Source organism: Homo sapiens, chromosome 10 (assembly GCF_000001405.40).
Source record: "Homo sapiens chromosome 10, GRCh38.p14 Primary Assembly".
Lineage (NCBI taxonomy): Eukaryota > Metazoa > Chordata > Mammalia > Primates > Hominidae > Homo > Homo sapiens.
The window spans coordinates 35,069,086-35,088,736 of NC_000010.11; the positions used below are offsets into that span (position 1 = coordinate 35,069,086).

Below are 19,651 nucleotides of genomic sequence, written 5' to 3' on the forward strand. Positions count from 1 at the left end.
CTCGAACTCCTGACCTCATAATCCGCCTGCCTCAGCCTATCAAACTGCTTGAATTGTAGGCGTGAGACAACGTGCCCGGCCTGTACTCTTTAATCATTATTTTTGCAGACTTTTTATTTTGGGGGTGAGAGAAAATTCATGATCAGGTGAAAAATAACTGGCCCAGCCACCAGCTGGGCAAGGTGGCTCACACCTGTAATCCTAGCACTTTGGGAGGCCAAGGTGGGAGAAGTGATTGAGCCCAGGAGCTCGAGATCAGCCTGGGCAACATAGTGAGAACTCACCTCTACAAAAAAATTTTAAAAATCAGCCAGGTGTGGTAGCACATGCCTGTAGTCCCAGCTACTCAGGAGGCTGAGATAGGAGGATCTCTTGAGCCTAGGAGGTTGAGGCTGCAGTGAGCTATAGTCACACCACTGTACTCCAGCCTGGGTGACAAAGTGAGACCCTGTCTCTAAAAAGTAAAAATTAAAAAAAAAAAAAGGATAACTAAACCATATTAGATGGACCAAACAAATAACATCAGAGAAATAACAGTGACTGAAGGGGTCACTTTCCAGGGAAGTAATCTATTTCAAAACCACTTAAAAACCAAGAAATTCACTGTCGATTCTGTACAATGATGAAGAACACATTTTAATTATTTTTTCTTTACCTCCTGTTCATTTTCCCTCTTCTTGCTCTTCTTGTAGTCATCTATAACCAACTCCTCTTCCCTCTCTGCTCCTTGTTTTAGCTAAAATATCCTTAAAAGCACCTATGAACTTGCCTAGCCCAATCTCACTAACACACAAGTAGCAACACTTTTTCAACTTTTATTAAGATTCTTGCCCCAAATCAATCCATAATGTTCCACAGAAAAATTAGCTATCTAATTCAAAGGCAGAATCTATATTGGTTATCCTCTAGATATACTGGAAAGCATAGGAAATTGGATCTTTAAGATACTATATTCAAGTCTGTGGTCCATCAATTACTACCCGTATGACCCTGGGCAAATAAGTCCCTTACCTCTGAGATCAGTTTCCTTATCCGTTACAGTCAAGTAATTATTTTTGCCCCACTGATCTGATAGACTTGTTTGAGGTATCAAACAACATAAAAAATATAAAAGATCTTTTCAAACTTTGAAGCCTTCCAAAATGTCATCACCCTTTTACATATCTTCAGTGCCCAGAACATAGTTGGCTTAACAAACTTTTCTTACTGCCTACTGCAGTTGTAATGAATTAAATGGTTTTCTGTTGGTCTAAAGAACTTTACTCTTCTTGCATCCACATTCAGCTTAATATTAACAACTGAATTAGGCATTCAGAACAAGCTGAACTACTATCTTATGAAATCAGAGCTTTTCTAAAGAATGTACGCCCCATATAATGAGGGCAGCCCTTCTGTAGCCCCAGAAGATTGCTAGAGAGGGCAGCACTAGTTAGGTCTAGCAGATCACTGTCATGGAGGAACACAGGAAACTAGGCTTCAGGGCATCCTAGAGAAATCACCAATCTGCATTGTTACATAAAACTCTCAATTCACACATGTAGGCAATCTAATGAAAAACACACTTCCACCCCAGTCACTGAACTTGCTGTTCACTCTCCAGCAAGCACACTCTTCCCCCCAAAATCACATGGCTTGCTCCCTCGCTGCATTCCAGTCTCTGCTCTAATGTCACCATCCTCAGGGAGGCCTTCCTTGGCCACCCATTCTAAAAGAGCAGCACCCACACAGGTGCTCCAAGCCTCCCCCACGTCCTTATCCTGCTTTCATTTATCACGACCTCTTCTTGAAAGCAATGACATTAGATTTTTTTTTTTACCTGTTTAGTGTCTATTTCTATTTTTATAATAGAAAGGAATTTTTTTTTGTTCACCAACTGTATTCCCAAAGCCTAAAGTAGTCCTTGACAGATACTAAGTACTCAACAAATACTTGTTGAATGAAAGGTTATCAAATACTGATTGCCATAAAAGAGGTGATGAACTTGGAAATGTAGATGATAATATATTAGAAAATAGTTACATGGGAAAGTTCTTCCATAACATTGAACATGTTCTCAGTTTTCAACAAATTTATCAATTTTAGAACATTGATCAAGCTGCCATTAAAAGGATACGAGAAACGGTCATTCCATGTTGCTCTTTCGACGTATTCCAACATGACCACGGCTTTTATTGTCGTCAAAAGTTTGTTCCATGTTTCATCAAAATCTACTACTCTTGGTTTCAAAGACATTGTGCAAGTGTAGTGTTGAAATCTGTCAATTAAAAAACAATAACAATGTTAGCAATAATTCCATGAGCTTAGTTTTTTTGTTGTTGTTTTTTGTTTGTTTGCTTTGAGACGGAGTCTCGCTCTGTCGCCCAGGCTGGAGTGCAATGGCGTGATCTTGGCTCACTGCAAGCTCCGCCTCCCAGGTTCACGCCATTCTCCTGCCTCAGTCTCCCAAGTAGCTGGGACTACAGGCACCCGCCACCATGCCCAGCTAATTTTTTGTATTTTTTTTTAGTAGAGACGGGGTTTCACTGTGTTAGCCAGGATGGTCTTGATCTCCTGACCTCGTGATCCGCCCACCTTGGCCTCCCAAAGTGCTGGGATTACAGGCATGAACCATCACACCCGGCCAGTTATTTGTTTTTAAAGCACTACATAATTAAATAGCATGATATATGCAAGGAGTGAGAAAAGAACCCGGCACACAACAAAATGTTAGCTACCATCTTTTCATGACTATCCAGACAAGAAATTTCACAGACTATTTACATTCATTACAAGCTCTAGGAAATGGAAAGCTTCTAGTACAAATTATTTATGATCAAGGGTATAGTTTCAAAGATTTATAGTCCTCATTTAATATTGCGAGGGAAAGAAACGGGGACCCACTTAACCAAAAGGCCAACTTCCATCATGGGAAATAATGCAGGACATTCAACCGAAAGGTTTTGGCCCCAAATCCTTGTGGTTTGCACTCCTGAAAGTGGGGAATGAGGCAGCATGCAAGGGAATATGAGAAGACACAAGAAAATGAAAGGCTTTACCTTCCTGGAGCATCAGTATAAGATTAGGGAAGAAATTTACATTTATATTAAACCAAACAGGGATGAATTATGGAGTAGAATATAAAATTCACATGACCTTTTAAGATTAAAAAAAAAAGATTCCACAGAAATGTCAGGTTTGCAGTGGAGAGCTTAAGGCTCCTTCCCAGATTCTTGGGGTATCTACCTCCCAGTTCTAATGAAAAGCATGGCTCTAGCATGGAATCCCTGGCTCCAGTGAACTTAATGGGCTTTTTTTTTTTTTTGAGACAGAGTCTCACTCTGTTGCCCAGGCTGGAGTGCAGTGGCGCAATCTCGGCTCACTGCAACCTTCACCTCCCAGGTTCAGGTGATTCTCCTGCCTGAACCTCCCGAGTAGCTGGGACTACAGGCGCCCGCCACCATGCCCGGCTCATTTTTTGTATTTTTAGTAGAGACGGGGTTTCACCATGTTAGCCAGGATGGCCTTCATCTCCTGACCTCGTGATCCGCCCACCTCGGCCTCCCAAAGTGCAGGGATTACAGGCGTGAGCCACTGCACCTGGCCCAGAATGGGCTTTTAAGGGAGTTCAAAGACTCCTGCCTCAGACAAACTGCATTTAGGAATTAGCTGGTTTCTGGAACAAAAGGGTCCCAAATTAAAAGAGAAACTTTCTAAGCTAAATGTAATTGCTCAAAGGAACATTTTTCTGGCAAATGTTTTAACAGCCTCCCTCATGTCTCCCCTTATTAGCAGGACTGTAAGACACCAACCTAGTCTGTAGCCAAGGCCAAAAAAGGATGAAACATCTTTTCTCGTCTCCCATCATAGGGGAAAGGGGAGGCAGAGAATGGGGAGGAGGGAATGATGCATAAAGAGAATGGGCAAAGGGAGCGGGTAGGATGGCGGCCGCACCACCAGCCACGGACTGGGAGAGGCCCTTCTGTGTTTCCAGATGAGAAGAGAGCTCAAGGAATCCCAGGAATAGACTCCATGGAAAAGAATGAAAAAAATCAGAGAAAAGCCAAATATCCAAAAGAGGGTATGCCTTGTTGAACCACATCCTCTTTCCTCAACATTCCAAAGCCTCCACCTCCTGGCCTTCAACTCATTCCCGAACTATCTATAACGGATTAGCAGCGATTTTACTCTGCAAAATTGAGGGGAAGGTGAGAGTGGAGGAGGTGGGAGAACCTACTGAGTTTCCTAAGCTCTAAATAAGGGAATTAACCATGCCTCCTTCTCTTCCTTGTTTACTACATCCTATCATCAACTGTGCACATGAGTATTTCCTGAATCCATCCATACTTGTATAGCCCTACAAATGATCCGGAATCAGGCCCTCAGCAGAAATAGTAACAGTTAATATTTACATTGTGTATACTGCAAGCCAAGCACTAGTCTAAGTACCCTGTACAAACTCGTTTAATCCTCCCAACATTCTGACAGGTAGGTCCACTGTTGTCCCCATTTTCTTTTCTTTTCTTTTTTTTTTTCTTTTTCTTTTTCTTTTTTTTTTTGAGATGGAGTCTCGCTGTTGTCAGCCTGGGCTGGGGTGCAATGGCGCAATCTCGGCTCACTGCAACCTCTGCTTCCTGGGTTGAAGTGATTCTCCAGCCTCAGCCTCCCAAGTAGCTGAGATTACAGGCGTCTGCCACCACACCCGGCTAATTTTTTATTTTTAGTAGAGACAGGGTTTTTCACCATGTTGGCCAGGCTGGTCTCAAACTCCTGACCTCAAGTGATCCACCCACCTTGGCCTCCCAAAGTGCTAGGGTTACAGGCATGGGCCACTGCGCCTGACCTGTTCTCCCCATTTTCTGAATAAGAAAACTGAGTCACAAGTGATTCAGAAACTTGCTTAAGGTCACAAAGCTATGTAATGGTGGCATCAGGATTCAGACCCGTGCTGCGGCCGGTGCTCTAGGCTGCTGTGTGCAACCATGCTACCTCACTAACATGCTTGGTGAATACTTACTCCTTGCCAGGCACCATTCCAAGCTCTGAGGATACAGTGGACAAAACAAAGTTCTTGACTTCAAGATCAGAATCTCAGATCTTGCCCTTATCAAAGACACAAAAATAACCTACCTAAGCCAAAAAGTTGACCATGTTACTCTGTACATAAAGTACAAAGTTTGTTGTTTCCTTCTACAGACAGCATTCAGTTTGGGCTCAACTGCAACATGGCACCCAAGCTTCCTCTCCTCCTGGTACTCCCTACTGTGACATCATAATCTAGGAACTTCTCTCTGCTTAGAGATCACTGAACACATCAGCCTGATTCATACACTTGCCTTTACCCTTACTATTTTCTCTACCTAAAGTGCTTATCTTTTCCTTAGCTGCCCCCTCCACCCATTCCACCTAACTCCCACTGATAGTCTAACCTTGGTCCACTAGCTTTTTTTTTGTTTGTTCCTGAGACAGAGTCTCCCTCTGTCACCCAGGCTCGAGTGCACTGCAACCTCCACCTCCCACGTTCAAGTGATTCACCTGCCACAGCCTCTCAAGGAGCTGGGGGATTACAGGCGTGAGCCATCGCACCCTAATTTTTGTATTGTTAATAGAGACAGGGTTTCACCATGTTGGCCAGGCTGGTCTCGAACTCCTGAGGCTCAAGTGATCCGCCCGCCTTGGCCTCCCAAAGTGCTGGGATTATAGGTGTGAGCCATTGTGCCCGGCCTTCATCTGCTTTTAAGAAACTTTCTTGGACCATTTAAGCTAGGTAAGGTGTCCTATCATAGGTATTACCTGAGAACTCCACACTTTCCTCTATTAGAGTACTTCATCGCTCTGAACTGTAATTACCTGAGTGTTTCTGAGAGTGGGGACAATTCTGTAACTGCGTACCAAAAAGCTAGCGATGCTCCCCTCACATTCGCTTTCTCCTCTTATAAAATGGAATCATATTATACACACTGCTTGTAAATTAGTTTAACAGTTGCACAGACTTTTTTTGCTTTATGGAATCAGACTGACACTGACTTCTCTGTTGAGACTGATAGATTTCTGGTACCATAGGAAAATACAGTTACAATCCATGCTTGGATGGATAGCAAATCTGGAAGCCAACGTGCAAGAAGCACCAGCCTCGTGAAACACACCAAAAACTGACAAACCAATAGCAGGAAGGTATGCTGAGACAGTCTGTCAAGATTCTCTGCTTGCCCAGCAGAAAGCTCATATAACTAGGAAAATTAAGTTTCTTAAAAATGTTTAATAATAACATTCAGGGAAAGTTTACACAAGGATGTGAAAGAGACAGGGCAAAGAAGAAAAAGGACCACAGTCACACTATTTCTACCCCCCAAGCTGTCAAACAACTCATAAATCTATCAGTCTTGTTCTTCATTCCTGTGCCTTAACGAGATTCCCACGCGCACTCAGATTGTGTCCCATCAAGTTAACTGCAAAAATCCAAATCTCCTGAAATCACCACAGTCCCTTTTAGTTTCCTTGTGAGTTCCACTCTTGCAACAATGGGGTTTTAGACACACAGGTCCAGTGGCTAGGGCCACTTATGGGCCCTAAAACACACACACACACACACACACACACACACACACACACACACACACACGCACGCTCCACATTTTTAAAAATTGCAAAATAAAAATTTATATTTAATTACCTGTTTCCAGAAAACATTATGTCAACATTAATACAATATTTGCAACATTTTTATTACATTTGAAAACACTTGTAGATTTGATTTCCTCACAGCATAATTTCTAAATATGCATGATTGTCAATAATAATTACAAAAGTGAATTATAAAACGCAGCTACCATATGACCCAGCAATTCCACTCCGAAGTATAAAGAGAAATAAAACTCCCAAGAGAAATACAACATATTCACATAAAAACTGGTACACAAATGTTCACTGTAGTATTATTCATAAAGGCCCTTGAAATAGCTCAAGTGTCTATCAACTGATAAATGGTTAAAATGCAATATAGCCATACAATAAATTATTATTTGGCAATACGAGGAAATGAAGTACTGATACACACTATCACATGGATGACCCTCAAAAACATTCTACTAAGTGAATGAAGAGGGCCACAAAATAGCCACATAACGTATGAATCTATTTATATAGATTATCAAGAATAGGCAAATCTAGAGACAGAAAGTATGTGAGTGGTTGACTAGGGAACTTGGGGGGAAAATGGGAAATGACTGCCAACAGGGTGAGGAAAATGCTCTAAAGTTGATTGTCATGATAGTTGCACAACTCTGGGAATATACTAAAAACCATTAAATTGTATATTTCAAATAGGTAAACTGAATGGTATGTGACGTATATCTCAATAAAGCTGCTATACATTTAACAATGAATTATAAAATCCTGCCAAAAATTTTAGAGCAATTTAACGGGGATGAGGTGGAAGTAAGTATCAATACATCCATATGGTCATTTAGCATAAAATTCTGAAATCTCAATCTCTCTCCCACCACTCCCGTGTACGACCTCATTGCCACCTCCCATTGAATGAGGCAATAAATGTTATATGTTCCTGGGTGTATTTTATACATATATGTGATTTGTTACTCCCTTTTACATAATATAAACATGGTATTTTTTTCATCTGTTTTACATAAATGGTATACTATTCAGATTGTTATATATCTGCTTTTTTCTCTTAAAAGTATATTTGTGGCCAGGCACGGTGGCTCACGCCTGTAAGCCCAACACTTCGGGAGGCCAAGGTGGGTGGATCACCTGAGGTCAGGAGTTCGAGATCAGCTGGCTGACATGGTGAAACCCCATCTCTACTAAAAATACAAAAAAAATTAGCCAGGTGTGGTTGTGGGCACCTGTAGTCCCAGCTACTCCGGAGGCTGAGGCAGGAGAATGGCGTGAACCCAGGAGGCGGAGCTTGCAATGAGCCGAGATAAAACTCCCAAGAGAAATACAACATATTCACATAAAAACTGGTACACAAATGTTCACTGTAGTATTATTCATAAAGGCCCTTGAAATAGCTCAAGTGTCTATCAACTGATAAATGGTTAAAATGCAATATATCCATACAATAAATTATTATTTGGCAATACGAGGAAATGAAGTACTGATACACACTATCACATGGATGACCCTCAAAAACATTCTACTAAGTGAATGAAGAGGGCCACAAAATAGCCACTGCACTCCAGTCTGGGCAACAGAGCAAGACTCCGTCTCAAAAAAAAAAACAAAAAACAAAAACAAACAAACAAACAAAAAAAACAAACAAAAATTAGCCGGGTGTGGTGGTGGCTGCCTATAATCCCAGCTACTCAAGAGGCTGAGGAGGAGAATCGCTTGAACCTGAGAGGTGGAGGTTGTGGTGAGCCAAGATCATGCCACTGCACTCCACTCTGGACAACAGAGCAAGACTCCGTCTCAAAAAATAATAATAATAAAATAAAAAGAAATAAAAATGAGGCCAGATGTGGTGGCTCACACCTGTAATCCCAGCACTTTGGGAGGCCGAGGCAGGCGCATTACCTGAGGTCACGAGTTCAAGACCAGCCTGACCAACATGGAGAAACCCGGTCTCTACTAAAAATACAAAATTAGCCGGGCACGGTGGCACATGCCTATAATCCCAGCTACTCAGGAGGCTGAGGCAGGAGAATCGCTTGAACCCAGGAGGCGGGGGTTGCGGTGAGTCGAGATCGTGCCATTGCATTCCAGCCTGGGCAACAAGAGTGAAACTCCGTCTCAAAAAAAAAAAAAGAAAAGAAATAAAAATAATATTAAAAATATATATTTACAGATGTAATGATATGCTGTCTGAAATCTGCTTCACAATTAAACAGCTTGCTCATGAGTTGATAACTGTTAAGGATGAATAAAAGGGACATGGGGATTTATTACAATATTCTTTTTTTGTATGTGTTTACAATTTTCCATAATAAAGGAATTTAAAAATCCTACTCCTCATAAACATTAATATTTTCATAAATTTAGGGGAGAAAGCACATCATCTCTAACTGAAAGCCGTTACTAACCTTCCCTTCTGAGAATCTTAACTTTCCTGTGAGTTTTAGGTTTCCAAAGTTGTAGGAGAGCTCACAAAACACATGGTACTGTCCCTAAATGTGATGTGTTAACATAGCCTGACAAAATGTCCACCCCTAAAAAACTTAAATTACTAATAGCAGAAATAAAAAATATATATGTTTGTTAAGATCAGGTGAATTTTTTTTTTTTTTTTTGAGATGGAGTTTCTGTCTTGTTGCCCAGGCTGGAGTGCAATGGCATGATCTCGGCTCACCACAACCTTCACATCCCAGGTGTGAGCAATTCTCCTGCCTCAGCCTCCCAAGTAGCTGGAATTACAGGCTTGCGCCACCACACCGGTGTAATTTTGTATTTTTTTTTTTAGTAGAGACGGGGTTTCTCCATGTTGGTCAGGCTGGTCTCAAACTCCCAACCTCAGGTGATCCCCCTGCCTCAACCTCCCAAAGTGCTGGGATTACAGGCGTGAGCTACTGCACCCAGCCCGACATTTTTCATATAAAGAGATTTGTTCCTGTGAACTCACTTGCTGGAGCAAAAAAACAATTTAGATAATTTCAGCAGGTAAAAGTTACAGTATCTCAAAAGATGCATTTTGGTGTTTTGTATTTTACTTACCTTCTAAAAGTATAATTATCAATAATGTAAATGGCTAACCACTTACTATTTTGATTCTCTTTATAGTGAACAAAACTCCTGAATGACGATTTATTTCAGTACTGATCAGCAGCACCAATAAAAATTTGGCATCCAAAAATTATCAGTAAGATACAATAGAGTGGTCTAAGTTGACTTCAGATAGTTAAGACACCATAATTAGTTTTTTAAATGCCACTCAATAGGCTTAGAGCAGATTTCCTTCCAAATGCATAAAATGAGAAAATACTGAAGACCCAATAAAGAGCCTTACAGCAGTCCCCTGCCTTATCCAAGGGGATACGTTTCAAGATCCCCAGGAATGCCCGAAACTATGTTTTTTCATATACATACATACCTATGATAAAGTTTATTATATAAATCAAGCACAGTAAGAGATTAACAAAAACTAGCAGTAAGATATAACAATTATAACAATATGCTATAATAAAAGTTACATGACCATGGTCTCTCAGAATATCTCACTGTGCTGTACTCGCCCTTCTTGTGAAGGTGTGAGACAATACAATGCCTATGTAATGAGATGAAGTGAGGTGAGTGACACATGCATCGGAAGGTCGGCATTGGGCTACTTACTACTGACCTTCTGTATTCCTGAATATGTGTTACAGTCCCTGACTTAGAGTAAATGGTTTGGTGTCATTCGTCTCTGGGGATCCCTTGCTGAGTCTTCAAATAGGCTCAATGCTTTCTGGCACAGTATGTTGCCATCAAGTGGAACTTGTCTCTGCTCATGTCTTCCACCCACCAGTGTAATGCCTTTTCCAAATTAACTAAGCACTTATTACACGATATAACTATCACTTTTACAGATTGAGATTTGACAGCAAAACTAGTAAGAATTTCTTTCTTCACAATTTCTTTTCTTTCATAATTGTGAAGAAAAAGAAATTCTTATTAGACCTGCTTACAGTAGGTCTTAGCAATCTCAGTCTATTATTTTTTTCTTTCCTCATTGAGAACTTTCAACTTTTCGTGTAAAGGAAGCACTCTATGGCAGAAGCCTCTCTGGTGTATCCATATTGCTAGGATCACTACTCCTGTACTTTGGGGGCCCTTACTAAGTAAAATCAGGGTGACTTGAACACAAATACTGCAAAACTGCAACAGTCTATCTGATAATCAAGACAGCTACTAAGTGACTAATGGCAGGAGGCATCCACAGCGTAGAGATGCTGGACAAAGGGATGATTCACGTCTGAGCAGGACAGTGCAAGATTTCATCACACTACTGAGGACAGTACAGAATTTAATTATGAGTTATTTCTGAAATTTTCCATTTAATATTTGCAGACCCCATTGACCGTGGGTAACTAAAATGCAGAAAACAAAACTGTGAATAAGGGAGGCAGGGAAGTGGAATACCATATTAACTTGGCATTATTTTCCATTTCCATAGGTGGGCCCAAAGCTGCCAATGGTGCACAATGACCAAATATGTTGCCATCATTTAATATTAAAATAAGCTCCAAGAATGCATCTAAACATTTTCATCTTGCTGTATCAAATGAGCAAGCCACTGGATGTAACTAAGAATGCCCTTTCTTATTTGGAGGTTAAGGGTGCAATGTTTTTTGTTGCACTAAGGTTTGACCCACAGAGCTCTAAGTACTCCATAAACAACATTTCCATCATGACTTTCTGGCTTTAGAATTCCTATTTTTATTTATTTATTTATTTATTTATTTATTTATTTATTTATTTATTTTTGAGACAGGGTCTTGTTCTGTCACCCAGTGCAGTGGTGTGATCCTGGTTCACTGCAGCCTTGACCTCCTGGGCTCAAGTGATCCTCCCGCCTCAGCCTCCTGAGCAGCTGGGACTACAGGCACACACCACTGCACTGAGCTACTTTTTTGTATTTGTAGAGATGGGGTTTCACTATGTTGCCCAGGCTGGTCTTGAACTCCTGAGCTCAAGCTTCCACCAGCCTTGGCCTCCCAAATTACTAGGATTACAGGCGTGTGCCACCGCACCCAGCCTAGAATTTCTAGTAGGTTTTTTACAAAAACAAATGAGTTGGGGAAAAAAGAGTGAACAGACATATGGTGTGTGCCAAAATGTATACTGCAGGAAAACATCTTGAAGTCTCAAAAAGGGTGACACGGTGGGGAGTAGGGAATGTATTCATAATACAATAAGTTACAGAAGCCATTTGCACCCAGGTGTGGTGGCTCACACCTGTAATCCTAGTACTTTGGGAGGCTGAGGTGGGAGGATCACTTGAGCCTGGGAGTTTGAAAACAGCCTTAGCAACATAGACAGACCTGGTCTTTAAAAAAAAATAAAATTATAGTAGCTGGGCCCTCTGGTAACATGCGCCCGCAGGGAGTCCCAGCTACTCAGGAGGCTAAGGTGGGAGCTTGGCTTGAGCAAAGGAGACTTCAAGGTTACATTAAGCTACAATGGCACCACCACACTCCAGCCTGGGCCAAAAGACCAAGATCTTGTCACAAAAAAGCAGCTACCTGCTTCCAAAAATAAACCCACTGCACCAGAATAAAAGACCCCTCTCTGCAATGAACTTTAGACTCCCATAAGACTGCACAGCCTATACTTTGTTTCTTAAGTTTTCACATCGCTCTTATCAGCTTGAAGTTTAACGCCATTTTCACTTGCTTTCTCATTTTTTGTTCAATAATCTAGTCAACGAATTTAAGAAACTGACATTTTTAAAAAAAACTATTCTCATATATGTATCCCCGATCTCAGGTAAATTAGAGAATTTGAATTTCTGAGTCCTTCATGACTAGGCAAGCCCATCGTGTATGAATACTAGACAAAGCTAGAACCAACCAGCCTTTACACAAATTATCAAAACATTGAGAACAAATTTTTTGGCTGTGTGCAGTGGCCCATACCTACAATCCCAGCACTTTGCGAGGCCAAGATGGGCAGACTGCTTGAGCCCAGGAGTTCGCAGCCAACCTGGGCAACATGGTGAACCCCGCCTGTACAAAATACAAACAGATCAGCCAGGTGTGGTGGCATGCACCTGTAGTCCCAGCTACTAGGGAGGCTGGGATGGGAGGATCACTTGAGCCCAAGATGTGACCGCACCACTACAATCTACTGTATTTGCTGACTGCTATATAATACATTAAATCCTGCCTATGTCCTGACACTGCTATAGAAGACACAGGCATGGAAGAATAATTAAAAAGGGGATACAGTTATGGCAGATGCATATCAATTAACCCTCTAGCAACTTTCTTGACACCTCCTGTTTACAATCCCAAAGAGAGCCAGTGAGTTGGATCAAGTTTGTAATCCCAGCATTTTGGGAGGCCAACGTGGGAGGATCACTTGAGCTCAGGAGTTCAAGACCAGCCTGGGAACACAGCAAGACATCATCTTGACTGAAAAAAAAAAAAAATTTGCCTGCAGTGAGTTATGATCACACCACTGCACTCCAGCCTGGGCAACAGAGCCAGACCTTGTCTCTCAAAATAAAAAGTTCCGATATATGCTACGACAAGGATTAACCTTGAAGATATTACGCTAAGTCAAATACACTAGACACAAGGTGAAAAATATCTTATGGTCCTATTTAAACAAAAGTATGTATGTGGGCAAATTCATAAAGACAGAAAGAAGGATGAGATGTTATCAGATGCTGGGGGAAGGGGAAATGGGGAGCTACTGCCTAATGGTTGTACAGTTTCTGTCTAGTAACGAAAAAGTTTTGGAAATGGTGGTTTTGGAAATGGTGGTGAGGGTCACAATGACACTGTAAATGCAGTTAACACCACTAAACTATACCCTTAATGACGGTTAAAATGGTAAATTTTATGTCATGTATGTTTTAAGTGCTTAAAAACTAGATCACAGGTACAAAGTTCTGATGTCAGAGAAGTATCTGAATCTCACTGCAAAATGCTCTCTAAAAATTTTTAAATGGATGCATTCTAATCAAAATAATACTTGGTACTATGATGACAAAATACTATTTTTGGTTCAGACAGACTTTTATCAAATAAAAGAGAAATATCTTGAGATAAAATTTTTCTGAAGGCTCAGGACTACTTGGGGATCTTTCTCTTGATGTCACATTATTCATTATTTTGGTAACTATACACTTACATAATTACAAAGGTATCTTTGGCTGAGCATGGTGGCTCATGCTTGTAATCCCAGCAGTTTGGGAGGCCAAGGCGGGCAGATCACTTGAGGTCAGGAGTTTGAGACCAGCCTGGCCAACATGGTGAAACCCCATCTCTACTAAAAATACAAAAATTAGTCGGTGTGGTGGCAGGTGCCTGTAATCCCAGCTACTCAGGAGGCTGAGGCAGGAGAATCGCTTGAACCCAGGAGGCAAAGGTTGCAGTGAGCCAAGATCGAGCCACTGCACTCCAGCCTGCATGAGAGCAAGACTCCATCTCAAAAAAAAAAAAAAAGAAAGAAAAAGAAAAAAAGAAAGCTATCTTCTATTTCCCACCGTCAGAAAATAGCAGTTATAAATAAAGGGGAAAGGCAAGCATTAATCCTGTGGTAATGAGTTGTAATCAAAGGTATCATTTACAAACTCATGGTTTTGAATACACAAACACACATATACATGCAGATAAAAAGATATAAACATAGATGTTTGTGTATGCATGGTTGAATATACATATATTTCTAGCTCTGTTCACTGAGAAGGGCCTAGGAGGAATGACACCACAGTGGCAATGGGCACACATAGAACTTAGATCTTGGTTTCTAAATATCATTCTCCAAAAAAAGGAACCAGAGCTCCTCCTTGGAAAAGTGATTGATTCCAGGGCTGAAGCAGGAAAAATACAAGTTGAACCTAGAACACCTATGATGTCAGAAAATAGAAGGTGCTTTCCCCCCACAAAGAGGGTGGGGGCATATCGAAAGGACACAAGTTAAACTAAAGGTCAAAACTGGAACAAATCAGAGCAACAAAATAATGAATGATAGGATTAGATTATAAACCATAGGCGGGTCACAGTGACTCATGCCTGCTGTAATCCCAACACTTTGGGAAACCAAGGCAAGAGGACTGCTTGAGCCAAGGAGTTCAAAACCAGCCTGGAGCATAGCCTGTACTTTCTCTCCTTCAACTGAATTAAAACAAGGCTGAGATATTTTTAAAAATTTACATATGGCAAATCCATGTTTCATTCTTTGAAAAGCAACCTACAATAGAGAAAGACTAAGTCACTGAATTAATAGATGTAACTAACATTATTTATAATGTTAAACTATATAAAAGAGGCCAGGCACAGTGGCTCACACCTGTAATCCCAGCACCTTGGAAGGCCAAAGAGGGCGGATCTCTTGAGGTCAGGAGTTCAAGACCAGCCTGGTCAACATGGCAAAACCCTATCTCTACTAAAAATATAAAAATTAGTCAGGTGTGGTGGCAGACACCTATAGTCCCAGCTACTTGGGAGGCTGAGGCAGGAGAATCACTTGAACCCAGGAGGCAGAGGTTGCAGTGAGCTGAGATCGCGCCACTGCACTACAGCTTGGGTGACGAGTGAAACTCTGTCTCAAACAAGCAAACAAGACACAGTATCAGTCTGAATTTTTAATTCTCCAGAATAACAAAGCTTAAAGCAAAAGGAAATATTCCACCTCTCCTCCTCCAAAAGAAAAATCAACAGGGTTCAAGGCACCCCGGAAGTTTCTACAGATCCAACACCACAATCTTAACCTAACACTACTACTGTCTCAAAACTTTTAAGAATCAAAGGGATTGTCTCCAATAAGCCTTTCCCAATGAAAAGCCAAATATAAAGTACTGATATAGAAATCTATACATTCTTAAAGGTAACCCAAAGATTATGCTAACTGCAATATGACAGATACGTTACCAGTAAGATTCAAACCCAGGCACAGAGCCAAATCACTCTGAATAGATATTGTGATTAACTGATTACTGAGAGAGGGTTCAGTCATACATCTCATAGATCAATAACTTGTTATAAATCTCATAACATTCCAAATCGCTGCTTGTTTTTCCAAGATTTAACATGAGCCAGTCATAAGTCCTCATAATATTAAGATTCTAGGGCTGATCCTGTCATCAATTTACTTAAAAACAACTGATAGTTGGACAGGCCTGGTGGCTCACACTTGTAATCCCAGCACTTTGGTAAGCCGAGGCAAGTGAATCATGAGGTCAGGAGTTCAAGACCAGCCTGGCCAACATGGTGAAACCCCGTCTCTACTAAAAATACAAAAAAATTAGCTGGGGGTGGTGGTGGGCGCCTGTAATCCCAGTTACTTGGGAAGCTGAGGCAGGAGAGTCTCTTAAATGCCAGAGGCGGAGAATGCAGTCAGCCGAGATTGTGCCACTGCACTCCAGCCTGGGTGACAGTGTGAGACTCCATCTCAAAAAATAATAATAATAAAAAATAACTGGCTGGGTGTGGTGGCTCACACCTGTAATCCCAGCACTCTGGGAGGCTGAGGCAGGCAGATCACAAGGTCAGGAGATTGAGACCATCCTGGCTAACACAGTGAAACCCCGTCTCTACTAAAAAAATACAAAAAATTAGCCAGGCATGGTGGCGGCTGCCTGTAGTCCCAGCTACTTTGGAGACTGAGGCAGGAGAATGGCGTAGACCCAGGAGGCAGAGCTTGCAGTGAGCTGAGATCGCGCCACTGCGCTCCAGCCTGGGCGACAAAGCGAGACACCGTCCCAAAAAAAAATAAAAATAAAAATAACTGTTAGGGCCAGGCGCGGTGTGGCTCACACCTGTAATCCCAGCACTTTGGGACACTGAGGAAGGCGGACCACAAGGTCAGGAGATCAAGACCATCCTGGCTAACACGGTGAAACTCCATCTCTATGAAAAATACAAAAAATTAGCCGGGCATGGTGGCAGGCGCCTGTAGTCCCAGCTACTCGGGAGGCTGAGGCAGAATGGTGTGAACCCGGGAACCAGAGACACAGCCAGACTCTGTCTCAAAAAAAAAAAAAAAAAAAAAACTGATAGTGCATATGAAACATTGCTTTCAATCACAGCCAGACATTTTTCCAGAATACACAAAGAACAGGCAGATAAGGTAGAACACAAAACAAACAGTGCAAACTTTTGTAAAGTCTCACAAAAAGAAACAGCTTTTTACAGCGAGGGAGGAAGGGCATAAGGGTTGAAAAACGGTTGGGTACTATGTTCAGCACCTGAGTGACGGGATCATTGTATCCTAAACCTCAGCATCACACAATATACCCGGGTAACAAACCTACGTGTGTACCTCCTGAATCTAAAATGAAAGTTGAAAAAGATAAAAATAAAGAAACAAGCAGCCTGGCCAACATAGTGAAACCTTGTCTCTACTAAAAATACAAAAATTAGCTGAGAGTGGTGGAGGGCGCCTGTAGTCCCAGCTCGGGAAGTGGAGGCTGCAGTGGGCTGAGATTGAGCCCCTGCACTCCAGACTGAGAGACTCTGTCTCAAAAAAAAAAAAGAAACAAGAAACAAGGCCGGGCACAGTGGATCACGCCTGTAATCCTAACACTTAGGGAGGCTGAGGTGGGAGAATTGTTTGAGCCCAGGAGTTCGAGACCAGCCTGGGCAACACAATGAAACTCTCTTAGTTCTGTCACCCAGGCTGGAGTATAGTGGCTCACTGCAGCCTCCACCTCCTGGGTTCAAGTAATCCTCTCACCTCAACCTCCCTAGCAGCTGGGATTACAGGCCTGCACCACCACACCTGGCTAATTTCTGTATTTTTTGTACAGACAGGGTTCGCCATGTTGCCCAAGCTGGTCTCAAGCTGCTGGGCTCAAGTGATCCACCCACCTCAACCTCCCAAAGTGCTGGGATTACAGGCCTGAGCCACCGTACGTGGCCGGAAACAGCTTTTTAAACAACTCCACACCTGTAGGTCAAAAACTTAACGAGACCAGCCTGGCCAACATGGTGAAGCCCCATCTCTACTAAAAATACAAACTCCAGCCTGGGTGACAGAGCGAACACCATCTCAAAATAAATAAATAAATAAATAAATGAACTTAACAAGGGCAGGGACCAAATCAGAAAATGCTGCAGTACTCCACAGTTTTATCCTCTTTCTACATTCTCTGTGTTCTCATCCTATTTCATAACTTAACTACTATTTAACACTCTAAAAAATACAAATGTCAAAGTAAAGTGTACTACTGTTTCTGCAAAGTGGGAACAATATTTGCTTATATGTCCACAAATATTTTTTTCCAAGGAGATCTAAGAAACAGCTAACAATGTTTGGCTCCAAGGAAAGCTGGATGACAAGGGTACAAGAAGTGGAGGGAGATTTTCATTCTATTCCCTACTGACAATTTTATATTTTGGTTTTCTGTTTGTTTTAGAGACAGGGTCTCACTCTGTCACTCAGGCTGGAGTGCAGTGGTGCAATCACAGATCACTGCCACTTCCAACCTGGTCATCTGGCCTCAGCTTCCCAACAGCGGGTACTACAGGCGTGCGCCACCACGCCTGGCTAATGTTTTTTAAATTATTTTTTGTAGACATGGGGTCTCACCATGTTGCCCAGACTAACATCTTAAATTTTGAGCCATGTGAATACAGTTTTTGTTCAAAACATTAGTATACCAATAAATAAATGCTGATGACTCTCCATATCCATTTTCCTCTCTTCACTAGAACTTAAGTTCCATGAAGCCAGAAATTTTTTAACCACTATATCCACACATCTGGTTTAAAGCTGGTGCTTGAGAAGCCCTCGTTGGATGGCTGAATCACTCCTTAACCTCTAAGTTCCACACTTATTTCCAATCACCTACTTCTCACCTCCACTTGAACAACGAAATCCAACTTAACATGTCCAATCCAACCCCATCCCATACAACAGCCTGCTTCCCCCAACCTCTTCTTCATCTCAGTACACAGCATCATCATCCTCCAGCAGAAGCCAAAAACCCAGAATTGACCCATCCCAACTGCATGCTCATCCAAAACATGACAATTTCAATAAGTATCTTCAACTCCAAAATAAATCTCAAAACGTTTTCACTTGTACCTTAACCCTCCACAGCCACTGCTCTTCTCACTGGTCTCCTTGTGTCTCTCTTCTCCAATCAACAGTCTGATTCTCAATCAGACCTCTCAGTTTAGAAGAGTTCCAAAAGCCTTTTAATGTATCTAAGAACAAAGCCAACATGATCCAGCCCCTGGCTAGGACCCACCTTTAATCTCTTACTAGGGTCCACCTTAAGCCAATTTCAGTTTGTTCAATCCAAGTTTGATAGCACCTCAGGGTTTTTCCATTTGTTCCTCCCTAAAATAGGAAAACTGTTCCCTCAGAATTTCAAACTTCACCTCAGGAAGTTCTTTTCTGGTTACAGTATCTGAAGTAATCTCCCAATCACTACCACAACTCCTTACCTTATTTCCCACACAGCACTTATTCTCTGAGATTATTTCTTATATACTGTCTGTCTCTCCATCCCAAGCCAGAAGTGACACTCCAAGAGGATAGAAATTTAATGGGTTGGACAGGTGTGGTGGCTCACGCCTATAATCCCAGCACTCTGGGAGGCTGAGGAGGGCGGATCATGAGGTCAAGAGATCAAGACCACCCTGGCCAACATGTTGAAACCCAGTCTCTACTAAAAATACAAAAATTAGCTGGGCGTGGTGACGTGCGCCTGTAGTGCCAGCTACTCAGGAGGCTGAGGCAGGAGAATTGCTTGAACTGGGAGGTTGCAGTGAGCCCAGATCGTGCCACCGCACTTCAGCCTGGTGACAGAGCGAGACTCCGCCTCAAAAAAAAAAAAAAAAAAAAAAGAAATGTAATGTGTCTTGTTTACCCTTGTAACCTTAATGCCTGCAGCCCTGCTTGACAAATAAACCAGGTGCTTAATAAATATCTGTCAACTGCCAGACAACGCAAAAATGACTTTAAAGAAGGTCCATAACGTTTAATCTAGTGACAAACTGGTGAGGGTAAAAGACATGGATAATCTTCACATTTATAGAACACTGAAAGCCACCAGCAAGGA

At 41.8% G+C, this 19,651-nt stretch overlaps 1 protein-coding gene and 1 non-coding gene across 12 annotated transcripts in view; both read right to left on the minus strand.

Annotated features, from left to right (window-relative positions):
* Window positions 1–19,651, minus strand: part of CUL2 (cullin 2) — a 118,456-nt gene that overhangs the window by 60,535 nt on the left and 38,270 nt on the right. For 8 of the 11 annotated variants that reach the window (XM_011519745.2, XM_047425852.1, XM_011519743.1 and 5 more), the window contains one exon: window positions 2,114–2,254. In XM_011519745.2, the coding sequence (XP_011518047.1) occupies window positions 2,114–2,254 (141 nt within the window). Of the gene's footprint in view, window positions 1–2,113; window positions 2,255–4,993; window positions 5,246–19,651 lie in introns of those variants that run through there. The other 3 variants (NM_001198779.1, NM_001198778.2, NM_001324376.2) reach the window with 3 other exon arrangements.
* MIR3611 (microRNA 3611) lies at window positions 10,513–10,595 on the minus strand. Its single transcript, NR_037405.1, has one exon. It is a non-coding gene; the product is annotated as a microRNA 3611 (primary transcript).